The sequence below is a fragment of the Homo sapiens genome, chromosome 1, assembly GCF_000001405.40.
Source record: "Homo sapiens chromosome 1, GRCh38.p14 Primary Assembly".
In the NCBI taxonomy this organism is placed as follows: Eukaryota; Metazoa; Chordata; class Mammalia; order Primates; family Hominidae; genus Homo; species Homo sapiens.
In genome coordinates this window covers 148,865,374-148,889,330 of record NC_000001.11, presented here as the reverse complement: position 1 = coordinate 148,889,330, position 23,957 = coordinate 148,865,374, and the positions used below count along the sequence as shown (strand labels likewise).

Genomic DNA, 23,957 nt, shown 5'->3' with positions numbered 1-23,957 from the left:
TCAAGGTGACAGTGGGTTTGCAAAGAAGAGAAGGAAATAGAGGGTGGGGAGGGGGTATTTAAATGACTTGTGGCTGATTTGGACTATAAGACCAAAAGGAGTGTGGCCAGAAGCAAGAAATAAGGTTGCTATAGAAAAGACCATGTACATAAAACGGCCCACAAAGGTAACCGCATGTCAAATATCCCCTTTCTGTCCAGTGCAAATCTTAAAGAGCTTCTAACCAGAGGAGTCTCAATTTCCTTTGATAATCCAGAGCTCACTTCTAATGAGTTCCTTTGCAGTTTTCAGCCCCAAGCTTTTTGAGCTCTGAGGCAGTTCAACTAATAGCCTTTATTGCCATGAGCCTTCCCCCGAAACACACCATAGCTACCCGCAAAGAAAGAGCAAATCTTCTAGCTCAGCGGAATCTTTGCAGACTCTATTTACCAGTTACAAAGCTCAGAAAGAGGCAGGGTCAAGGGATCCTCCCTCCATGGAAGAAGGGATGGGCAGAAGAGAGTGTGGGAGGATGACAGAGAGGGAGCCGTCATCCTGGAGCCCAAAGATTTCAGGCAGTCACTGGTTCTTAACTCTGGCACCTGCCAAGTGGAGCCGGGCACTCATCACCAGATCTTGCTCCTAAAGTAATTTAAGATCCTTGAGTGACAGCTGCAACATTAGCAGGAAGTATTATTTATACCACATTACATTGAAGGTGATGGGAGACAACCCCAGAGCACAGATAACAAACACGGGTTCTTTGTGGCAATAATATTAGGTTGAAAAAATATATATTAACATTCAAGATAAAGGAAACTACAAAATTTACACTTAATTCAAGCCCTCATTTCCTCCCCAACCTACCTGCTTTTCATTCTTCCAATTCCTTCTCAAACCTTCATAATCATTCCAGTCAACAACTCCTGAGTACTCACCAGGTAGGACATTGGGCATGAGGGATATATAGATCAAGAATGTCCCAACCCTCAAAGAGCTACGTGGCCATACAGCTGGCCATGATATGTTAAGATATGTGTTTTACATTATGATCCTCCAAACCTGTGTTTTTCAACTTTTGTATGTTACATTGCCATCTAGTACATATGCATACACTCTTAACTGAAGTAAATGTTTCAAAAAGTAATTGTCACCATCACTATGTGTGATGTCCTCTGATATTTCCTATTTCTTTTTCTGCCAGTGACCCACCCGACGGATTTCATGACCCACTAATAAGTTTCAGCCTGAGTTTAAAAAACGTTGACTCTGGGGGAGCCCGTAAGAAAGAGTAGTCAGTTCTTACTGGGGTGATCAGAGAAAGCTTCATTAGGAGTTGAATTTGCACTTTGCCTTGAAAAATAAAAAATGTTTGAGTGGATAAAGTGGCCCCAGGAGGGCATAATTAGAGTGAAGCATTCTCCCAAATAGATTTAGATTATAAATAGGCAAAATAGGCAAGCCCAAATATTTACCATTTGAAAAAAAAAAACTACACATTTAAAATCCATTTAACTATTTTCACTAAATCTGAATTCTTAGAATTTGAGAATGCCAACTAGGCTTAGTTAGAGACAGTGAAGAAAAAAGTCTAAGTTAAAACAACTCAAAATATCCTTTTCCATTCCCAGTTCTCTTACTAAATAGCTATGTTATAGACCATTTCTCTAGAAGCCTAACTGTCCTCACTTAAAAAATGAAATGGCTTTAAAAATTGGTGATTTTTTTTTTTTTTTGAGACAGAGTCTTGCTCTGTTGCCTAGGCTGGAGTGCAGTGGTGCAATCTCAACTCACTGCAACCTCTGCCTCCTGGGTTCAAGCCATTCTCCTGCTTCAGCCTCCTGAGTAGCTGGGACTACAGGTGCCCGCCACCGCGCCCGGCTAATTTTTCATTGTTTTAGTAGAGACAGGGTTTCACAGCGTTAGCCAGGATGGTCTCGATCTCCTGACCTTGAGATCCGCCCGCCTTGGCCTCCCAAAGTGCTGGGATTACAGGCATGAGCCACCGCGTCTGGCCAAAATTAGTGATTTTTAAGGCCCTTTCCTGGTCTAAGCTCTTCAAGGTGATAACCCAGTTAATATCACCTCCATTTTGCTCAAGGGGAGCCAGGCTGCCAGAGTTTAGATAAGTGTTTAATCATGCTTTGGCTGTCTACTTAGATTCCTTTATCAGGTAAAATAATTTCATAAAAGTTTTACAGGAAGTAAAACTGTGTATGAATCCAGGGTATTCTTATGCATCCTAGATTTCTGTTGGACATTTATGCTTATTTCCTCCATGATATCTTGTTCTTCTATCTCTCTGGATCCTTTTCTGTGTTTTTTGCCAGCTCCTGAAAGTGGGTATTTAAATGATGGTAAGTCCTCAGCCTTCTACTTTTTTTTCTCTTCACATTTTTATCCATGGAGGTTTTATCCACTTTTAGGGCTATACTTTCACCTTCGAAACAATTCCCAAATCTCCAACCGAGTCTTCTCACCCAAGATCTAGCCGTACATATTCAACTCTTGGCTTAGATCATTCAACTTGAGTGTTCCCAAATTCCACCCAAGCAAAGCCTTTCCTCTTACCCTAGCCTGGAAAGACTTCTTCCTCTTTTGAACTCTAAGGCAGATATTAACATTCAACAAGTGTTCATATGCTGCCTTATGATGTGGCTTTTGTTATCTTGAAGGGTTATTTACATCTTTTAGAGTTACGCGACTTTTTGTGTGTTTGATCTTTCCAACTAGTCTGAAGCTGCCCAAGGAAAAAGTCAATGACTAACTAATACATCTTCATAAACTCCTACAGCTTCCATAACAACCTGAGACCTCTCCAACAGCATTCATCCCATTGTGCTGTCACAGTCTGTTTACGATGACCTCAACCTGGCTAGAGTGTTTTGAGAGCTGACAAGGCATATTTTGTGTCCTTGTATTCTTGTTGCATAGTACTCAGGAAGCACTCCCTAAATATTTGTGGAATCAATGAACAGGAAAATATTCCATAAACATTGTACGTTTTGCTTTGTTATATATGGGCTGGCTCACCTGTATTATTCTCATAGATTTCCAATAATATGAAAAAAGTTTGTTTTAATAGTCCTAAATAAACTATATTTGGTAGAACACTTATTCTAGAAGACGTAGAAAAATGACGTTTTGTTCACTTACATTTCTAAGTTTACATGCCCACCCTGATCTTTTCCCTGAACTCCAATTGATATCTGACTGTCTAGTAGAAATCTCTGCTTGAATTTAGACATCACATACTTGTGATATCTAAAACTGAACTCCTGATCTTTCCCAGTAAACATGCTCCTCCCTCACTACACCTTTTTTCAACTTGTAACAACTCAATATTTTCAGATTTTTGAGCCCAAACCTTTGAGTCATTTCTTGATTCATTCTCTCTCCTACATATCATCTGTCTGTAAATCTTACTATGTATATTCTACATTATAGTATATATATTAATAACATATATGGTAGTATAATATATATGTTGTAGCTGTTGTATTATGTATGTAATATATAATACTATATTATATATACTATTATACTACTATATATATATTTTATATATATGTTATACTACCACTACTGCCACTGGTATTTCTACCACCCTGACCCACAGTACTGCCATCTTTTCCTTACATGATCTGAATAGCCCCTTAACTGGTGTTCCTGCTCCCACTCTTGTTCCCTTGTAGTCTATTCTCAGCACAGCAGCCACAGTGACCCTTTCAAAATACGTCAGATTACTCCTCTGCTGGAGAGCCCCCTGGCTTCCCATCTAACTTAGAGTGAAAGGTGATGTCCCTTCACCAGACTGCAAGGCCTGAGGCCCTACACCCTCTTCTTGCCTCTCCTATTACCTCCTCTACTTCTTCCTACCACTCTCCCTCTGTTCTCTGCTGTAGCCACACTGTTTCTCTTTGTTATTTCTCAAAAACAGGAAGCAAGAGAAGCTTTCTTTTCCGAGGCCTTTGAACTTGTTGACCCTTCTGCCTGGCTGCTCTTTCTCTAGGGAGGTGCACGATTCTCTCCTCACCTTCTTCATCTTTGATTGAATGTCACCTTCTTGGTGAAGTGAATACTCTTTAGGCACCCCATGCCTCATCCCAGCTCTCCGAATCCCCCTTCATTGTTTTTTATTCCGTAGCACTATCACCTTCTAAAATACATTTTCTTATTTATTTTGTTTCTTGTCTGTCTCTCCCCACCAGCATGTAAACTTCCTGAGAAAAGTGGGATGTTTTCTTAGTTTGTTCACTGCTGTGTCACCAGTGCCCAGAACGGTGCCTGATACATAGCTGGTGCTCAATAAATATTTGTTGAATTAAAGAATGGATGAGTAATTAACCTGCTGATTTATTTCTCATTGGAGTAATACAACTTAATCGATACACAAGATTATGTAGATGTTTTAGGATAAAAAGCATACCTAGTAGCATTCCTCCTTATAAAAAGATTATAAGTAAAATAAATTACTCTAACAGACTCATTTTAATACACCATGCAGAATCTGGACTTTCTACAACAGTTCCGAACAAATATGGAATCGTATATGACAAATTATAAAGGACAATATGAACTGTACAAATAGTAAAAACTGGGCCAGGCACGGTGGCTTATGCCTGTAATCCCAGCACTTTGGGAGGCCCAGGTGAGCAGATCGCATGAGGTCAGGAGTTCAAGACCAGCCCGGTCAACATGGTGAAACTCCGTCTCTACTAAAAATACAAAAATTAGCCGGGCGTGGTGGCATGTGCCTGTAGTCCCAGCTACTCAGGTGGCTGAGGCATGATGATTGCTTGAACCTGGAAAGTAGAGGTTGCAGTGAGCGGAGATCATGCCACTGCACTCCAGCCTGGGTGACAGAGCAAGACTCCGTCTCAGAAAAAAAAAAAGTAAAAACTATAAAAATTAGGAAGGAGAGGTGGCCAGAGAAGGTACCACAGAGAATTGGCACTTTAGCTTGTCTCAAAGGATGAGTTGAGCTTGGATAGGCAGTGGGGAGAACACAAGGCAGTCCAGGCAGGTGGAACATAAGCGAAAGGGCAGTGTGCCCACCAGGCCAAAGCAAAGGGCACATACTGTCCTGAAATAGGCCACAGAGATGAGGGGAAATAAAAAGCCGTCTCAAGGAGATCTTGAAAGCCAGGGTGAGAAGCCTGGAGTTTGCCCCTCCAGGATCCTGGCTCTCAATCTGGATAAGAGTGAGGGGAAGGGAAGTGGAGGTGGGGAGGAGGGCAGTGGGGGTGGGGAGGGCCAGGAACTGCTGACTGGGAAGATTATTTTCTTTGTGTATTGCTTAGGTTTTGTTTTACTTATTTGTTTTCTTGCAGCTTTAACAAACATCAGCGCTGCATGTGGAAACTTGGAAAAGAAAAAAAAAGCTTTAACAAACAAAAACACACATACCTGAGATGCACACGGCAACCTACTAGCTCATGGCAAACAGGCCTATATGTTGATAACCTCTGCATTGCTTAGGAAATAAAACACTGCAGATTCTTGAGCAAGGGGAAGTGCTTCTATCTTTGTTCTTCCTTTTTCTCCTAGTACATATAACATCTTTACTCTGGTCTCAGAATGTTTCTTCCAAACCTTAATGGCTCTCCCCTTCTTTTTCCTTAATTTCTTCATTCCACCCCTGGAATAACGTTCTAGTCCAGACTAGAAATACAACGTAAATAAAGACTCAATCAATGCCAACAGTAGGAGGAGGATTACCACCCAGCTGTTGCCTGTCATGCCCCATTAACACAACCAACCGTCAAGTCTGCCTTTAAAAAACCCAGCTTGACATTTGCTTCATCATATTCAGACCCCCCAGCTAGCTCATATAATGTATGTACTTGAAAACATATTAATTGTTTACCAATCTTTCTCCTAAAAATAAAGCTTCACTAACAAAAAATGATTAATCTTCTTAATGGACACATTCTTTTCAAATATAATCAAACTTCCACAATTTTAACTGTACTAATTTGATATCTGTGGATAATTCTTACCTTTACCTTCCTTGAAAATAAAAATATTTTAAAAATAAGTTAATATGGCAAATAGAAAAACAGAAGAGTAGTGCTTTAAGTAACCCTTGACACTTTACATCAATTTACACATAGACAATAAATATGATCACTATTATACATATTTATCTAGGGTGGGTAGCGTGGAACTGTGAAAAGAGCAATAGCTTTGAACCATGAAGACCAGCGTTCAAATCCCGGCTCTCCTTTTTTCTCATTGGGTCATTTTGGGGAAACTACTTAATAGTTAAGTATAGGAAGACAGTCAGAAGACTGGGATCTGGGCAGGATACTAAGAAGGTTGCAACTGTATCTGTAATGGTAACTTTTGTTTTTTCACCTGAGGAAAATAAACTAAAAATAATGTTTTCTAACATTTAGATATTCAACACATGGACAAGTGTTTAATTATTCTTTGTATATTCCTGTTGTTTGTAAAACAGCTTATAATTTTTAAAACTATTTTAAAGGGAATGAAAGTAGGAATTACAGGGAGGCAGTTATCAATTAGATATAAGGATGAATTCTCTAGTAGAGTTAGATGTAATAAAGATATTGCCACACTCTATCCATATGTTTATACATCAAATTTTTACTGAGTACATACATCATGAGACAAAATAAACTTCCTGTCACAAAAGGTGCTTGACCAAAACTCAAGAATCACCTTTCAGGGATACTGTTAAAAGTTTTCCCACATCAGCTAGGAGTTAGCTCTAGAGGGCTTTTAAGATCTTTGGCCATCCCGAAATTCTATGCTTGAAACACGTTTTCTCATAGAAACGCTCCTACCAAAGGCCAGTGAGAGAACTATCACTTTGTGAAGAATTTCAGAATGCCCACTAGCTCTCCTGTAGCCCTAAAAGGTAATGAGAGTCTACCTGTTCAGACTGAGAGCTCCGGCTGCCTTGTGCTACAGAAGCAGTAAGTGCATGTAAAGGACGCCATATTTCTAAGACAAAAGCAGTAACAATGACTCAAGGATGATGCCCAATAGACGATTTAACCTATAACTTTGCTAATTGTCATATTTTCAAAACAGCCCTATGGGAAGGGTACACAAATGTCTGGGGAGTATTTCCTGCTTTTTAGCACCCAGGGAACTACAACCAGGAGCCCAGCTTATTTTGGATTGGGGATGGGGATAGACAAGAAGAGATGGGGCAGGGAGAAGAGACGGCTGGTTTATTTTACATACACATATTTTATTTATAATACATCTCTGTGTCTAGGCGTCTCTATGCTGTTCTCATAAAATCTGAATTATACAAATAAAAGTTTAATTCCTGGCTGTTTTGAATGACTTGGGCCTGTATTACAAAATTAATCAGATACAATTATACTATCTTCACAACAACAATCATCTACATTGGTTTTGACAATGTACAAAGTACTTCCATGTGTATTATTTCGTTTATCTTTACCACAACCTTTGAAGTAGGAAGACATGATGATCCCCATTTTACTGCCTAGGACAGAGAGACATCAGGAGGTTAACTGACTTGTTCACTGAGAAAGCGGAGGAGCACAGACTATAACTCCAACAGTTTGACCCCATACTGCATACGCATCAGGTCCTTAATCATGAGACTGTATGACCCTTCTGAGCCTGGGATTCACTTGCAACTGGGTATTCCCTCTTCTACCTCAGGCCCCCTATACCTTTTCAAAAAGTGTCCTTCACTGTAAATAATCTTCCTGGTGGTGACCCTAAAGGATCTGACAACCTGGATCTATGTAAAAAAAAAAAAAAAAAAAAATTGTTTTCTTCATTTTCAAGATGAATAAACTAAAGTTGGCTCTCAAAGGGTTAAACAAAGAGTTACCATGTGGCCTAGCAATTCCTTTCCTAGTTATATACCCAAGAAAATTGAAAACATATGGCCACACGAAATCTTATATACAAATGTTCATAGCAGCATTACTCATAATAGCCAAAATTGGAAGTATTTCAAATGTCCTTCAACTGATGAATGGATAAACAAAATTTAGCATATCCAAATCATAGAATATTACTCAGCCATAAAAAGGAATGAAGTACTGATACATGCTACAACACAAATGACCTTGACAGCATTATACGATAATGTGAAAGAAGCCAGACACAAAAGGTCACATACTGTATAATTCCATTTACATGAAATGTCCAGAATAGGCAAATCCAGGCAGAAAGTAGATTAGTGGTTTCCAGGAACCAGGGAGAGGGAAACTGGGAAGTGAGTGTTAATGAGTATGAGGTTTCCTATTGGAGTGAGAAACACGTACTGGAATTAGACAGTGGTGATGGTTGCACAACTCTGAATATACTAAAATCATAGAATTGTAAGATTTCAGAAGATGAGCTGTATAGCGTGTTAATCGTTTGAATAAAGCTTTGTTTTTAAAAGAAGACAAAGAAATAAACCAAAGCTGAGAGAAGTAACTAACCCAATCCTTTATCTTTTATAAGAGTTTTTTTAATGATAAAGACTCAGTTAAAGTCCAATTTGATTCAGTTCAGTTAAAGCTAAATGGCTTAGAATGAATCATGTCTAAATATTCTGTATACCAATCCTACCTATATTATAGGGCCCTAAAAGAAGGGTCAGACGAAGTATGCTCTAAGTGGCTCTCAGTACTGAATATTCACAGATTAAGTTTTACAAAAAGGTAAAGTTTTGTGATAACCCTCAGATAAAACAGAAACATATGACCTATGTTTTGACATAAAACATACGTATTTGGCCTGTTCTGAAAAATATGTATAATTTTCACACACCACATTCTACCAAGGAAAATGTCAACCGGAGCCAACCAACTTGGTGTTCCACTCATCAACTCTTTTATGCCAACATGGTGTTTCTGCCCTTGTCTCAGAAGCCAACTACTGATACCTGCTTCAGAAAACTGACTATGAATTCCACAAAGTCCTGCTTTTTTCTTTTGGATTGTACAATCAACAAACAAGTCACCCTTCTAAAACTCTGTTTCTGAAATTTTAACATAATTCCTGAAGTTCCAGAGTCTCTTAAATGCTAAAATATTAACAATAGCATTCCATTTTTTCCCCTAACACTCAGAAGCATACTGATACCCATCCTGTACACAGCCTTTTCTTGCCTGATAACAAGAGCACTAATGACAGAGCTATTGCATCAGGTTGATTAATAAACCCCGTCTTAGGCAGCCTCATCATGTGGATAAAGAAAAGGAGTTAAGATGATGTTCCTGCTGCCTTCCCCAACATAGAAACACACCCACAACACCCCCAATCCTGGAATAACCAGATGTTATCTTCATCATCACACTAGAGCACTGTAAACCACATCAAAACAAAACGAAACAAATAACAACTTCCCTGGCCACCAAAAATAGATGGCCCAGCCAGAAATAGTGCTGCCAGAGGCAGTTAAATGAGCTGCAAGGCAGGAATGACAGTTGAGCTGCAGTGATGCTGGGGCCTCCCAAGGATTACCAGACTCCAAACTAGATTCTCCATCACTTTGGTCCAATCAACATCAGCAGGACTTGGTATTTGTTCACAATTGGTTCAACTCAGATTATTTGCTGAGCTTCTGGAATTCAGAGAGAGTGACTTATGGGCTCACCTTTTTCTCTAGATTTTAAATAATCCTTTCTCCATTTTTTTCTAGGAGTGAAGGCAATTTTGAAGGCATGACTACGACCTGCTCTGGCCACAAGAGCTAAGAGTTGCCAGGTGTTGTGGCTCAAACACTTTGAGATGCCAATCCCAACACTTTGAGAGGCCAAGGCAGGAGGATTGCTTGAGGCTAGGAGCTTGAAACCAGCCTGGGCAACACAGTGAGACCCCATCTCTACAAAAAATAAAAAAACAGGCCAGGCGCAGTGGCACTTAGGGAGGCCAAGGTGGGTGGATCACCTGAGGTCAGGAGTTCGAGACCAGCCTGACCAACATGGAGAAACCCCGTCTCTACAAAAAATACAAAGTTTGCCAGTGTGGTGGCACATGCCTGTTATCCCAGCTACTCAGGAGGCTGAGGCAGGAGAATCGCTTGAACCCGAAAGGCAGAGGTTGCAGTGAGTGGAGATCACGCCATTGCACTCCAGCCTGCGCAACAAGAGTGAAACTCCATCTCAAATAAATAAATAAAATAAAGTTTTAAAAAGTCAAAATTATCCAGGCGTGATGGTATGTTCTTGTAGTCCCAGCTACTCAGGAAGCTGAGGTGGGGGATCACTTGAATCCGGGAGGTCGAGGCTGCAGTGAGCCAAGATTGTGCCACTGCACTCAAGTCTGGATGACAGAGCAAGACCATGTCTAAAAAAAAAAAAAAACAAAACAAAACCAAAAACCAAGAGTCCACAGTGATACCATGAATGCCCATGGCTGCAACAATAATGCCTTGACCAGAAGTAGGGGGATAAGGGAAAAGATAGAGCCAACATGAACCCCGATTGACCCTCCCTTGCTCCATCCATGACAGAAAGCCTCCTATTTCTGAATTCACCAGGCTCATGCTGCCTCCAGGACTTTGCATGGGTAGCAGCATTAGCCTAGAATTTCACTTCTCTTTAATTCCCACCCATCTCTCACTTAACTAATCCCAACTCACCCATAAGGATCTAAGTCAGATATTACCTACTAAAAGAAACCTATCTGGCCCTAATGCCTGGGCAAGGGCTTCTCCTGAATGCTTCCACAGCACTGCGGACCTACTCTTATTGTGGCCCATTTCACAGTATATTGGGATTATCTGTTTGACTCTCTCCCCAGTAGATCTGGAGTTCCTTAACAACAGGAAGAATCTTCTTTACTTTTCTTCCAAAAACAGAAATCGCTTTACTGTTTTTTGTTTGTGTTGCTGTTGCTTCAGTGGTCATAAAAGTACTACATGTGCCTGTCTGTTCCAGTTGTTCTCTTTCTCAGTGGAGGGCATAACCTAGTAGTTGACCAAGCAAGAAAACTTGACATCATTTATTCGTTCAAAACAAACAAAAAAGAAGAAAAGAAAAGGGCATGCCTACTATGTACCAGGCATTATGCTAATCACTGTATCTAGAAGTGAAAAGACAACCACTGTCCCTGCTATAGTGAGCTCATGTTCTAACAGAAAAGGCAGACTTTGAACAAATAACTCACGTTATTGAAGAGAGAGGTGAAGGTAGTCTGGAAGTTTACGACAAGGTGACAGTGGGTAGGATGTGAGTGAAGAGATGAATTGGTGATCAGTCGTCTTTGGGTTTCTTCAGCCTCACTGGTTCTACATCCAGTCAATGGCTTAGCTCTATCAATTCTGCCTCTGAAATTTCTTTCACCTGTCCATTTCTCTAATTTTTATACTGGCATCTCCACCAACCTTTGCCTGGAATACTGCAACTGTTTTCTCTGCCTCTAGACTACTCCTCCTATGCAGAGGCCATAAGGAAGCCAAAAGGATCTTTCTAAGAGGAAAATCTGATCATGTCACCTCTCTGTCTAAAAGCTTTCAGCAGTTCCCTTGAGCTCAGATAAAATTTAAAAGCCTTTACATAACTTGCAAGACTCTGTATGATGACTCCTCTCTCTTTTCTCTGGTTTCAGTTCTCTGCATTCCTTACATCCCATTCTCTAGGAATACTGACTATGGTTCTTTCTCTCATCGGGATCTTGATTCAAGCTATTTCCTATGCATGGAACATTCTTCATTCTCACACTACCACCCCCTTATTAGTGGCTACTTCTTATTCCTTCTTCAGGACCCTGGTTAGATGCAGTTTCCTCTAGGAAACTTTCCCTGAATCCCCCAATCTCTTCAGATTGAGTAAGTGCCCAGTTATATATTCCATAGCACTCTTTACTTCTATTACAATAATAATTACATTCTGTTGGAATTTGCTAATCTGTAGACTCTATGAAGGCAGGAACCATGTTTGCCTATTCAATATTGTATCTGCAATGCTTAAGGTATGCTGCACATAGTAAAAGCCCTAGAATATTTTTTCAATGAATAGATAATTAAAATAAATATAATACTCAGTTATAAAGAAGGCAATAGGCTAATTCCATCATCCAGACATAATCAATATCAATGTTTTGGTATGTATCCTTCCAGACATTTCCATCTTTTCTCCCTCAAAAATGAGATCTTATTTTTTGTAATATTCAGTCAAATTGCTGTTGCCGTTGTTTTGTTTAATCTTAAATTTGTTATAATGGACATCCTCCCAAGTCAGTACATTGCTCTATAATGTTCTATTGTATATATATTCCACACTTGAAATAATCCTCACCTTGAGTACTAATATTGTATTGGTATAGAGAATACTGAAATATAAACACTCATCCTTGAACATACATTTTCTTTTTTTTTGTTTTTTTTGAGACGGAGTCTAGCTCTGTCACCCAGGCTGGAGTACAGTGGCAATCTCGGCTCACTGCAACCTCTGCCTCCTGGGTTCAAGCGATTCTCCTGCCTCAGCCTCCTGAGTAGCTGGGATTACAGGTGTGCACCACCACACCTGGCTAATTTTTGTATTTTTAGGAGAGACAGGGTTTTACCATGTTGGCCAGGCTGGTCTCGAACTCCTGACCTCAGGTGATCCGCCTGCCTCAGCCTCCTAAAGTGCTGGAATTACAGGCGTGAGCCGCCACGCCCGGCCGAAAATACATATTTTCATACATTCATTCTTGATCATTGTGCAACTAACAGCTAGAACATGGCCTGGCACCCACGATGCACTCATAAATGGATGAGTGGATTAACAAACAAATGAATAAGGGGGTCAGCTATCAGTAAGCATAATAAAATTGTGGCTAAGAGTTTAGGCACTAGAACCAGTACACTTATGTCCAAATCCCAGCTCCAGCACTTGCCATCAATTACTAGTGTTTTCCTAGCTTCAGTGTCTCTCTACAAACAAAGACAATGGTTGTACCAACCTCAAAAGACTATTAGGAGAACTGAATAAGATAATAAGGTCAAGTGCATTCTCAGAACTTGGCACACTGTAAGCACTTACAAATATTAATTGGTATCATGATCTTTGTTGCTATTTTTTAAATTTAGTATTGGAATGGAAATTATCATTAGAATGGAAACTTTGCAAAGTCCACAGAAAGAAAGATAGGGCTTCTCTTCGAACAACGGGAGAAGAGAAGAAAACAAGTTTTAATGAGGAGACAGAAAGGAGATAATTTAAAATTACGAAAAGAATTATTCTAATTCAAGTGCTACATTCTCTGTGAAAGTGGTTGCTCTCTTTTCTGTGTTGGTAATCATACCTTTCAGAATGTTCAGGGTTGTCCAACTTTTGTAATTTCATTCTTTTTGATAAAGTTTCTTTATTAATTGCATGACCAAATGTAAGCTAATATTTACAACTTTGAAAAGTTTACACACGCACACGCGCGTGCACAAATTAGAAAAAATGTTCTATCCCAGTATTTAAGATTTATTTATTTATTTGAGACAGAGTCTCGCTTTGTCGCCCAGGCTGGAGTGCAGTGGCTCGATCTCGGCTTACTGCAACCTCTGCCCTCTGGGTTCAAGCGCTTCTCCTCCCTCAGCCTCCTGAGTAACTGGGATTACAGGCGTGTGCCACCATGCCTAGCTAATTTTTGTATTTTTAATGGAGATGGGGTTTCACCATGTTAGCCAGGCTAGTCTCGAACTCCTGACCTCAGGTGATTCGCTCACCTCAGCCTCCCAAAGTGCTGCAATTACAGGCATGATCACCACACCTCGCCATATTTAAGTTTTAAAAACATACATTAGTTTGGCAAGTACTCCCATCTTGAAATATCTCTTTCAATATTGCCTTAGATGTTATTTAAATTAAATCTTGTATAATTTAAATTTTTTTATGCCCCAATCAGATTGTACATTCTTTGAGAATGGAATCTCATGTCCATCTTTGTATATTCTACAGCACTCAGAAGCATTCCTTTTACTCTGTAGTTCTATAAGAAAAAAAGTAATTGATTTGATTCATATCTTTGGTAATGTTGCTTAGGAAAGAAAACTTTGCATGGAAAGTCTGTGGAATGCCTGTGTGTGGAAGCCTTCTGTTTCCCTTTTTAAACATGAGATTGAAAAGGGAAAACAAACTGCACTTGTGATTGCTGAAAGTTTAATATTTACCCCCTGCCTCCTAGTAACTTTTTGAATGTCTTAAGATACCAGTGAAAACAAAACCAGTATGTTTGGGACACTGTGGTTTGGAAGAATGAATGCATTTTTTTTAAATAAAAATGCACTTCACTAGTAGTATTCATTTTCCAAGGCTGTAATTAGAGAGAAACACTCGAGAAGCACCAAAATTGTGGAACATAAAGAGGGCAGTGACAGGACCCCAATTAACCTAAATTAGCACAGGTTACCCAGACTGTGATAACTCAGAGCTCCAGAAACTCCCCAAAATGAAAAAGCCTTCTGCTTTTAGCACTTTTTTTTTCCTTTTTTCTCCCCAAAGACTTCAAGATTCAAGTGGAAAAGTTCACCAGGATGGGTGGGACCTGAACAGGCTGACTCACTGCGGTTAGATTCAGACTGCCAAGGAAAGCTGCAGAGTACAGTTAGGCATACACTACAGCTGGTTTTGATGATATTTTCTTGTTAAAGACAACATTATTAGAAAAATGTGTAAACAGGACAGGGCAGTGGAGGCCCCCTCTTGATTTTATAGCCAAAGACTCCCACCCTTCCGTGGCTTTTCTGTACCGTCTGCCATGTTGATTCTATGTAAAAAACCCAAATGCAGGCATTCCACCAATGTAATGCTCTCCTTCTCTGAGAGTCCTTTCATTTCCCCAAGAGCTTTGGAATCATTGGAGTTACAGTGGTTCCGTTACTTTATTCTTATATAACTTTGGGCAAGTTATTTGAACCTTGATCTCTTCACTAGTATAATGGTTGTAAAAATAATATCTATCTCATAAGTTAGGAAAATGAACTGAAAATACACTAAATTAAATATGTCAAATATCTAGAAAAGTACCTGGTGCATAATGAGCACTCAAATAGTATTTATTGTTATTAGCTACTATTGTGATCTTCTTAATAAATCCTGTCAAATATTATTTCAAAAAGACTCTTTCTCTCCCGTCCTTTTCATTTTTAGTTTTATCATTCCATTTAAAGTGGAAAAGAGGCCAGGCGCGTAGTTCGCGCCTGAAATTCCAGCACTTTGGGAGGCCAAGGAGGGTGGACCACTTGAGGCCAGGATTTGGAGACCAGCCTGACCAACATAGCGGAACTCCATCTCTACTAAAAATGCAAAACATTAGCCGGGTGTGGTGGCGGGAGCCTGTAGTCCCAGCTACTCAGGCAGGAGAACTGCTTGAATCCAGGAGGCAGAGGCTGCAGTGAGCTGAGATTGCACCACTGCACTCCAGCCTGGGTGACACAGCAAGACTCCTTCTCAAAAAAAATGAACAATAAAAAAATAAAGTGGAAAAGAAATGTACATTTCTTGACTTCCTAGTTTCCCATCCTACCCAATCAACTAACACACCAATACCCTCCTTAAAACTATTCAACTTATTGTGAATACCAGGTAGAGGCAGAAGAGATACAAATCCAATAGGATATCTAATTTTTAATACTTTTCAGCTAGTTTAGTTGATGAATATTTACTGAGCACTTACTATGTACTACATTATGCTATATTCTAGAGACTAGAAAAGAATGGGCAAGAGGTGTTTTCTGCCCTCAAGGAGCTTAGAGTCTTGGTATATATTCTGGGATTAGAGAGTAAGAGAAGGCATCCTAAAATTAAAAAATAAATAAATTTAAAAAGGCACCTGAGCTGAATCTTGAAGGATGAGTAAACTTTAACCAAATAAACAATAGGAGAGAAAAGGTTTTCAAGGCAGAGGGAACAGCAGGTACAAATAAATGAAAGTATGAAACAGCTTTGAATTGCAAGCAGTTCAGAATTAATAGAGTAAAAATCATGTAATAGAGAATACTGGAAGACAAAAGTGGATTTACAGTTTACCTAGAGAGGCAGGAATCTGGTAGGATTTCAATCTGCATCAATCTAAATAGGAGGAACTAGTGATTCCATTTCCAAATAAGCCAACACCTTCATTAGCACCAAACTTTCACCAGCTGAGTTCCCCAACATAGGACATGCCCACTATCTTTAGGTCACAAAGACATCAGGTGTTTTCAGGCTCAATCATGAGTTATTGGACAAGTTCCTTTGTTATTCTTTTTGCCATTAGTTCATCATTTGTAAACTGGAATAATAATCATGGCTTTTCTTTTTTTTATTATATTTGAAGTTCTGGGATACATGTGCAGAACGTGCAGGTTTGTTGCACAGTATACGTGTGCCATGTTGGTTTGCCACACCCATCAACCCGTCATCTATATTAGGTATTTCTCCTAATATTATCCCTCACCTTGCCCCACAGCCCCTGACAGGCCCCTGTGCGTGATGATCCCCTCCCTGTGTCCATGTGTTCTCATTAGTCAACTCCCATTTATGTGTGAGAACATAGGGTGTTTGGTTTTCTGTTCCTGTGTTAGTTTGCTGAGAATGATGGTTTCCAGCTTCATCCACGTCCCTGCAAAGGACATGAACTCATTCTTTTTTTATGGCTGCATAGTATTCCATGGCGTATATGTGCCACATTTTCTTTATCCATTCTAACATTAATGGGCATTTGGGTTGGTTCCAAGTCTTTGCCATTGTTAATAGTGCTGCAATAAACATACGTGTGCATGTGTCTTTATAGTAGAATGATTTATAATCCTTTGGGTATATACCCAGTAATGGGATTGCTGGGTCAAATGGCATTTCTAGTTCTAGATCCTTGAAGAATTGTCACACTGTCTTTTACAATGGTTGAACTAATTTACACTCCCACCAGCAGTGTAAAAGCGTTCCTATGTCTCCACATCCTCTCCAGCACCTGTTGTTTCCTGATTTTTAATGATCGCCATTCTAACTGGTGAACATGCCTTTTCACAAGGTTGTTGTAAATGAGATCATGCTGTCACATACTTAGAGCAATATCTGCCACATAGAAAGTGATCATCAAATGCTAGCCAGTATTATGTATGTGCTGCTGAAGTCTTGCTCATTCCAGAGATGCTGCAGCTGGGTGCTGTGATCAGCGAGAAAGCATAGGGCAAGGGATTTTTCTCAACACATCATTGTGACCATTTGTAGGTAAAATTTATTTCTGATCCAATAATGTGTTCAGATTTATGATCATGGTACATAAACTTATGGCCCTGAAAAAGTCACAATTTCCGTGAGTCCTGGTTCCCTCACTTAAAAAATGGGGAGAGTGATGCTTGTTCCGTGTCTTATAAAGACAAAATAAAACAACTTATGAGATACACTTAACCCACTGCTCAATACACTAAACCCACTGCTCAATACACTAAACCCACAGAGAATCCCTTCATCAGTGGATTCTCTGAGTGGGGAAAAGCGCCTACATAACGAAGTTGGTAAGGTTGGGAAATTAATTAAATCACTCACTCATTCAAAAATACAAATGAAGCATATATGCTAAGCAATGCCCTCCTTTCATCATGGAGTGTAATACCTATTGACCTCAACCTGACAAACATACAATTGGAGTTTGTATACACATACAACCATGCTGTTGGTTGTGGGTGGAGAATGAAAGAAAAGAAACACTGTTGTATGTTGGAAATGTTGCTTTCTTTGTCCCTTTTTTCTACACCAACATAAATGATAATTGTCACTTTCGCTTGTTAATTGACTAATTATGTTTTGGTTCCATAATGTGCCAGTATTTGCATTTTTAGTCTGTTATCTCTTTCCCTGTAATCAAAGAGCCTTTTTTCTCTAGAATTTCCTACATCAGCAAACATTTTAGAGGTAACTGCATTACTGAACAATTATAATTACTTTTGACAGATTGAGTACTTTTAGTATTACTTCTCTCCTGTTCTAACTCTCTTTTTCTTACCTCTCTATAGTCCAGTCTCTTATTTGAACATATCTCTCTTCCTTCCCCCAAATCTCCCCTCTGTCTGGAATATTATACTCTACTTCCCTGACTAGTAAAATCTAACTCAGCTTTGGAGACCTTGCTCAACGTGAAGCCCCCAGGAGAAATGTCCTCTGGTAAGAGGCCTTTCCCTACTCCTTTAATAAAAGTAGACATTTTCTCTCAAGATCTCAGAGTGTACTGTCCTTATCTCTATGAAAGCACTTGCCATGCTATATTGTATTTAATGCAATGTCTGTACTTCCAAATAGACTATAACTATCTAAGGGCAGGAACTAAAGTATCTCATTTAATGTGATCATGTGTTTGTTGCATGGATAAATGAAATAAGAAGGGATTCCTGGCTGCTTCTTCCAGGCCTGTCTCCCTTTGTCTTTAAGCCCTGGAGGAGTCAACCCTACTTTGGCAAAAAACATTTAGCATGTCCCCTCCTCTCTCTGAGTACTGCTACCTATCCTATATCCCAAGGCTACCAAATGCATATTTTAAACTTTACAGAAAATACCATGTTATTTAGTATTTTACCATTTTTAGGGTAGGGCATAGGAATGTGTTCCTATCTCTCCTGTATTTTTTCTAACCAATGTTTTCTCTAATTTTTAAACCCTTTCATGGAGGCGTTTTGTATTTTAGGTGCTGTCATTCAGAGTCCACAGGATGGATGAATGGATATGAAAATGAACAAACGTGTGACACAACACTGCATGATTTACCGGCAATGACTTTCTGATCAAGCCTGAAGTGGGTTGTAGCCTCTTTATTTACTTTTTATTTGACACATAGCAGAGAGAGATTTAAACTATCTCTTATTGGCCTTTTCCCTGCGTCTTAGCTTGGTTTCTGTCAGTGTTTCCCAGCATCGAGAAATAAGGACTAATCTGTCATATTAGATCTAAACTCTAAAAGAAAAGGACTTTGGGCCTTATATCTGCCACCCATTCTTTCAATGGAGGTGACACCCCTCACTTCTATATTTCCAGTCATCTCTCAATGAAAAGGAACATGCAGGCTGGCTGGCCTTTGGAGAGCACCCCACACAGTTTTGAGGAGCTCTGCAGCTCTGCTTGCCCTTTCTGCATCACAGCAGATCCAAAAGGTGAAAAAAAAAAAACAAAAAAAGGAGGGGGTTGGGGTGTTAGCATCCTTGCTTCCCCCACCAGCACCACACAGCTGTTCGGAGGTTTAGTCTTCAAAAGCCTCTTGATTACCATGCAAACTCTCCATGTCTTAAAAAAAACATACACACAGTATACATGAGAATGCTAAGCATAAAATTTGAAGAATAGGCTGTTAATTCTTAGGCACACGTTATATGGTGCATATTCTTTGCCCACAGAAATATCTGGTAGGATGTACAGAAAGTATTGGTGAAATATTTCTACTTACAAATTGAGGGAAGATGGGGTAAACCCATGTCAACACAAAATTTTTTGAGATTAGAATTTTACTTTTTTTTTTCTGTCAAAAGTTATCAATTCCAATTCCAGAATGAGAGAAACCCCAGTATCTCACAGACTATTTACACATTATTTATGTGGGACCTGCTTGCTGGGTATCCCTGAGGGGGCACCAAAGAGCTATTTCTTTCTTCCTTTTTTTTTTTTTTTTTTTTTTTTAGAGCACAAGAGTATAAGAAATTCCGGCTGCCTGTTTCTGGGCTATTTAAATCCCAGTAGACATGCTCTCTTGTACAGACTTCCTGGGCTCAACCCAGCTCACAGGGAGCTGGGGAATCTGTATTACATTATCAGTTATTGTTTTTGGTCAAATCTAAGGACAAACATATGAAGAAGCAGAGCATGCAGCACTGGTTCAGGAGGTTCAAGCAACATTATCAGATTCTTGTTGAGAAACAAATGGTTGTTACTGTGCCACCGCACACTGCAGACAATTCCTAGATATCGAGAGAGGTCCAAGCTAGCAACAGAGAATTTAATACTAGCTGCTGGACCGGGACTCCTGGGCTCACTATGTTGCAGCTACAGATTCTCAGAATGCCATTTAAACTTCCTGAGTTTATCTGAGAAGTAAACCAAGGGTGTAGGTGATGAGGCAGCATTTACTGGTACAGTTAGTCCCCCCTTATCCACAGTTTTGCTTTCCATGGTGTCAGTTACCCACAGTCAACCACAGTCTGAAAATGTTAAATAGAAAATTCTAGAAATGAACAACTCATAAATTTTAAATTGCACATTGTTCTGAGCAGCATGATGAAATCTCGTGCCATCCACTCTATCTCACCCTTGAATCATCCCTTTGTCCAGCACATCCAGGCTGTATATATCGCCCACCAGTTAGTCACTCAGTACTGTCTGGGTTATCAGATTGTTGCAGTATCACAGCGCTTGTGTTCCAGTAACTCCTATTTTACTTAACAATGTAAAAGTGCAAGAGTAGTAATGCTGGTATATTGTTATAATTGTTCTATGTTATTATTAACTACTGTTAGCCTCATTAACATTTAATTTATAAATTAAACTTTATCCTAAGTATGTATGTATAGAAAAAGACATAGTAAATATAGGGTTCAGTACTATGCAGTTTGAGGCATCCAAAGGAGGGACTGCTGTACAGGCAAGGGTCCATAACCACACCCCCCAGCACACAGCTGACAGAGCATATGTTTATTGGGACATGCTCTTGAAAGAGACACCATAATGATAATACCATCCATAATCCGGACCAATCCATGGGTCATATTTTTATCAGGCATCACTATTCCATAGTACTGCTTCTAATTGGGATAACAATTATCCACTCACATGACTTACCTTCTCAAAGTCTCGAAGAGCCTGGGTCTGTACCTGAGGGGGTTTCTCAAATGCTCTCAAGGAATATGTCTGCACAAACGGGACCTTTTCACCACTTCTCCAGATCTGTGACTGCACTGGAGGGCCTCGATCTTTAGTGTCACTAAGAAAAGCTGTCAATGAAACAGAACAACAAAAAAAAAGGTTTATATAATAACAGCACTAGGATCATTCTAACTGGCACATTCCAGCAGAATTCAGTTTCTGCAAAATACAAACTCAATCTAGGCCACATAGAAACAGTTTACTTAAAGTAGTCTGTGGTAGATCATATTAATAGCCATCCCCAGTGAATCAAACTAGTTTGGGTCCATAGGCCTTTGCAATGTGATACTCCTGCCATTAAGAAGTAGAGCCTATTTCCCCAACTCTTGAATCTGGGTTGGCAAAGTGGCTTGCCTTGACTGGCAGAATATGATATAAATGCTACTGTATGAGTTCCAGAGACTAGCTTTGAGAGGCCTTGCATTTCTGCTCTTGCCTTATTAGCATCCCAAGACAACCATGCTGTGAAGAAGTCGGTCTACCCCACTGGAGAAGGAAAGGCTGTTCAGGGAAGTGAAGATGCCCCAGCTGACAGTCACCACCTGCCAGACATGTGAGCAAGGCTGTCTGAGACCTTCAGTCTCAGTCAAGCCATCAGAAAGTTGCAGCCAGTTGAGTGATCCCAAGTGAGACCAGCAGCGATAATGCCCAGTTTGCCAAAACAGAATTGTGAGAAATAATAAATCATTGTTGTTTTAAGCCAGGTGTGGGCAGACATTTTCTTAAAGGACCAGACAGTGTTTTAGGCTTGTGGGTCATATCATCTCTGGCACAGGTACTCAACTCTACCCTGTAACACAGAGCAGACACAGACCATGTGTAAATGCATGAGTGTCACTGTGTGGCTATAAATCTTTACTTATAAAAACTGACTGTTGGCCCATGGGCTGTAGTTTGCTGCTGACCCCTGTTTTAAGTCACTAAGTTTTGGGATGGTTTGTCACATAACAAAAGGTAACCAAAACAGTCTCAAGGAAAGAACCAAGCTGCTAGCAAACTATCTCTACCGATAATTTTTCAGGTTACTATTTAGTAATAGTAACAATTATAACAGCCAACATATTTAAAGGGCATTACATGTTACAAAATAGTTTCACATGAATTATTTCATTTATGAAGTCGCTGCAATCAGTGAAATAGACATAAGTGATTATTAAGTCCATTTTACTGATGAATAAGTAAAGATTCAGAAAGTTTGCTTGACCAAGATCACATTGCTAAAAAGTGGCAGAACCAATCCCATCTTTTCTCCATCTGTCTTTCTTAGCAGTATGCTACTACTGTGTTATTTTAGCAATTAAAGGGATTGCAATAGGTCTGAGAGTGGGGAAAACAGGTAAAGAGGCAGAGACTCAATCACTCCATTAACCAATGGAAGCATTGCTTTGGGAGAACCTAGTGGAGTCTAAGCTGTAATTAACCCTATGCTTGCTTTTGAGAAGTAACATTGTTAAAGAATGAGAAAGCAAAGCCTCTGTCAAACAAAGTACACAGAGGACCTCATGTTGGGGCAGGGTTGGAGTTACAGACAGGTAGAAAACATAGAAAGCTACATACTTTCTTGGCTGACAGAAGGAAATAATGAACTTTTATTATGGAACTATTTTTTAAATAAGAAGACAGTCATGGCAAAGCATTAAGCGCTACAGACAGTGTCAGGGCAAGTAAGAGCAAAACAGGTACTGGGTGACTGCCTGGCTGAGGAAAAGTTAACTAGACACTTGGGGAAAGGAGATCCAAGGGAGTAAGAGGCAAAATGCCTTTGCATGCTTTTCTTCCTATCTCTTTTTCTTTCTCTCCTTCTCACTCTCTCCCTTCCTTCCTTTCTTCCTTTCTCTTTCTTTATTTTTTCTCTTTTCCCCCACCTCTCTGCCTGCCTCCTTCCTTCCCTCCCCTCCCCTCCCTTCCCCCTCCCTCCCTCCCTCCCTCCCTTCCTTCCTTCCTTCCTTCCTTCCTTCCTTCCTTCCTTCCTTCCTTCCCTCCCTCCTCTCTCCCTCCTTCCCTGCCTTCTTTCCTTCGTTCTGCCAACTTGCCAGAAGGAGCCCAAGAAAAAGCACCCAGATGCTTCAGTCAACTTCTTAGAATTCTTCTTTTTTTTATGTTCAGAAAAGATGGAAATTCATTTCTGCTAAAGAGAAAGAAAAAATTGGAAGACAGGGTGAAGGTGAACAGGCCCATTATAAGAAAGAAACAAAAATCTATATTCTGTCTACAAGGAAACGAGAGAGAGAAAGAGAGAGAAGAAAGAAGTTCCAGGATTCTAATGTACCAAAGGGATCTCCTTTTTCTTGTTTTGTTCTGAAAATTTCACCAAAAGAGCACAGGAGAACATCTTGGCTAATTCATTGGCGATGATGTAAGAAAACTGAGAGAAATGAAAGAAATGAAGAATTACTGCTGCAGATAATATACAGCCTTGAGGAAAGAAAGGCTTTTAAGATTATAGATATAAAGGCTATTGCTGTATTCTGGGATAAAAGAAAGTCTGATGCAGGGAAAGGGGAAGTTGGAAAAACTGGAAAAAGAAAAAAGAAGAAAAGAAAAAAAGGACTGGAAAGACATTGGTGAATAGAAAGATGAAAAGGGTGAAGAAAAAAATGATGATGGTCAATAGGGTGGTTTTAAAAGAGGCTTTTGTTTTATTAATTTGTTTTTGTGTGAGTGTGTGTGTATGTGTTTGTTTTTTGCCTAAAAGTATTTAACTCCGCATTACACCACTGATTTCAAAGAAAAAAAGCTGAAATGTAAGATCATATGATTTGTTTTTAAACTGAACACTGTATACTGTCTTTTTATTTTTGCAAAATTAATGTAGTATCCAGTGTGTCTTTAGATAACCCTGTCCTTAATGATATTTTCAATAGCCACTAACCTTGCCTGGTACTGTTTCGGGGTTTAAACTAGAACAGAAATTTAAGGCAGGCTTTATTAGTGCATAGTACAAATCAATTACATATATATGGAGATATTATTTTTCCCTCTTCAATTGTTTTTCATGCAGCTTACCCAATATAATTGTTCTGTTAGTTGTACACTACTCTGTGATAGCAAATAATAATAATAAAATAATTATGATGATATTGCCCCTGTTTTGGTGATATTCTGAATGTTTATACGTAAATGCAAAATTTTTAATTAAAAGTAATTAGAGGCTGGGCATGGTGG

The 23,957-nt window shown here is 39.5% G+C and overlaps 1 protein-coding gene and 1 long non-coding RNA gene across 38 annotated transcripts in view, besides 1 other annotated feature; one reads left to right on the top strand and one right to left on the bottom strand.

Annotated features, from left to right (window-relative positions):
* PDE4DIP (phosphodiesterase 4D interacting protein) overlaps positions 1-23,957 on the bottom strand; it is a 224,583-nt gene that overhangs the window by 143,686 nt on the left and 56,940 nt on the right. For 32 of the 35 annotated variants that reach the window (NM_001377392.2, NM_001350521.4, NM_001395298.1 and 29 more), the window contains one exon: positions 20,709-20,860. In NM_001377392.2, coding sequence (NP_001364321.1) covers positions 20,709-20,860 — 152 coding nt within the window. Of the gene's footprint in view, positions 1-1,929; positions 1,959-20,708; positions 20,861-22,798; positions 22,918-23,957 lie in introns of those variants that run through there. The other 3 variants (NM_001395329.1, NM_001395328.1, NM_001195260.2) reach the window with 3 other exon arrangements.
* LOC112268272 (uncharacterized) lies at positions 10,247-23,872 on the top strand. 3 transcript variants are annotated; one of them, XR_002958601.2, is made up of 3 exons: positions 10,254-18,678; positions 21,237-21,345; positions 22,899-23,872. It is a non-coding gene; the product is annotated as an uncharacterized LOC112268272 (long non-coding RNA). The 3 variants fall into 3 exon arrangements; XR_007066544.1 differs by having other exon boundaries at positions 10,247-18,678; positions 21,237-23,872; XR_007066545.1 differs by lacking the exon at positions 22,899-23,872 and having other exon boundaries at positions 10,247-18,678; positions 18,918-21,491.
* Positions 19,992-20,492: an enhancer, noted in NCBI's record as "H3K4me1 hESC enhancer chr1:145015143-145015643 (GRCh37/hg19 assembly coordinates)". NCBI's record gives its function as "activates a minimal SCP1, AML or CMV promoter by ChIP-STARR-seq in naive H9 embryonic stem cells {active_cell/tissue: H9 hESC(naive)}" and the evidence as "EXISTENCE:reporter gene assay evidence [ECO:0000049][PMID:30033119]".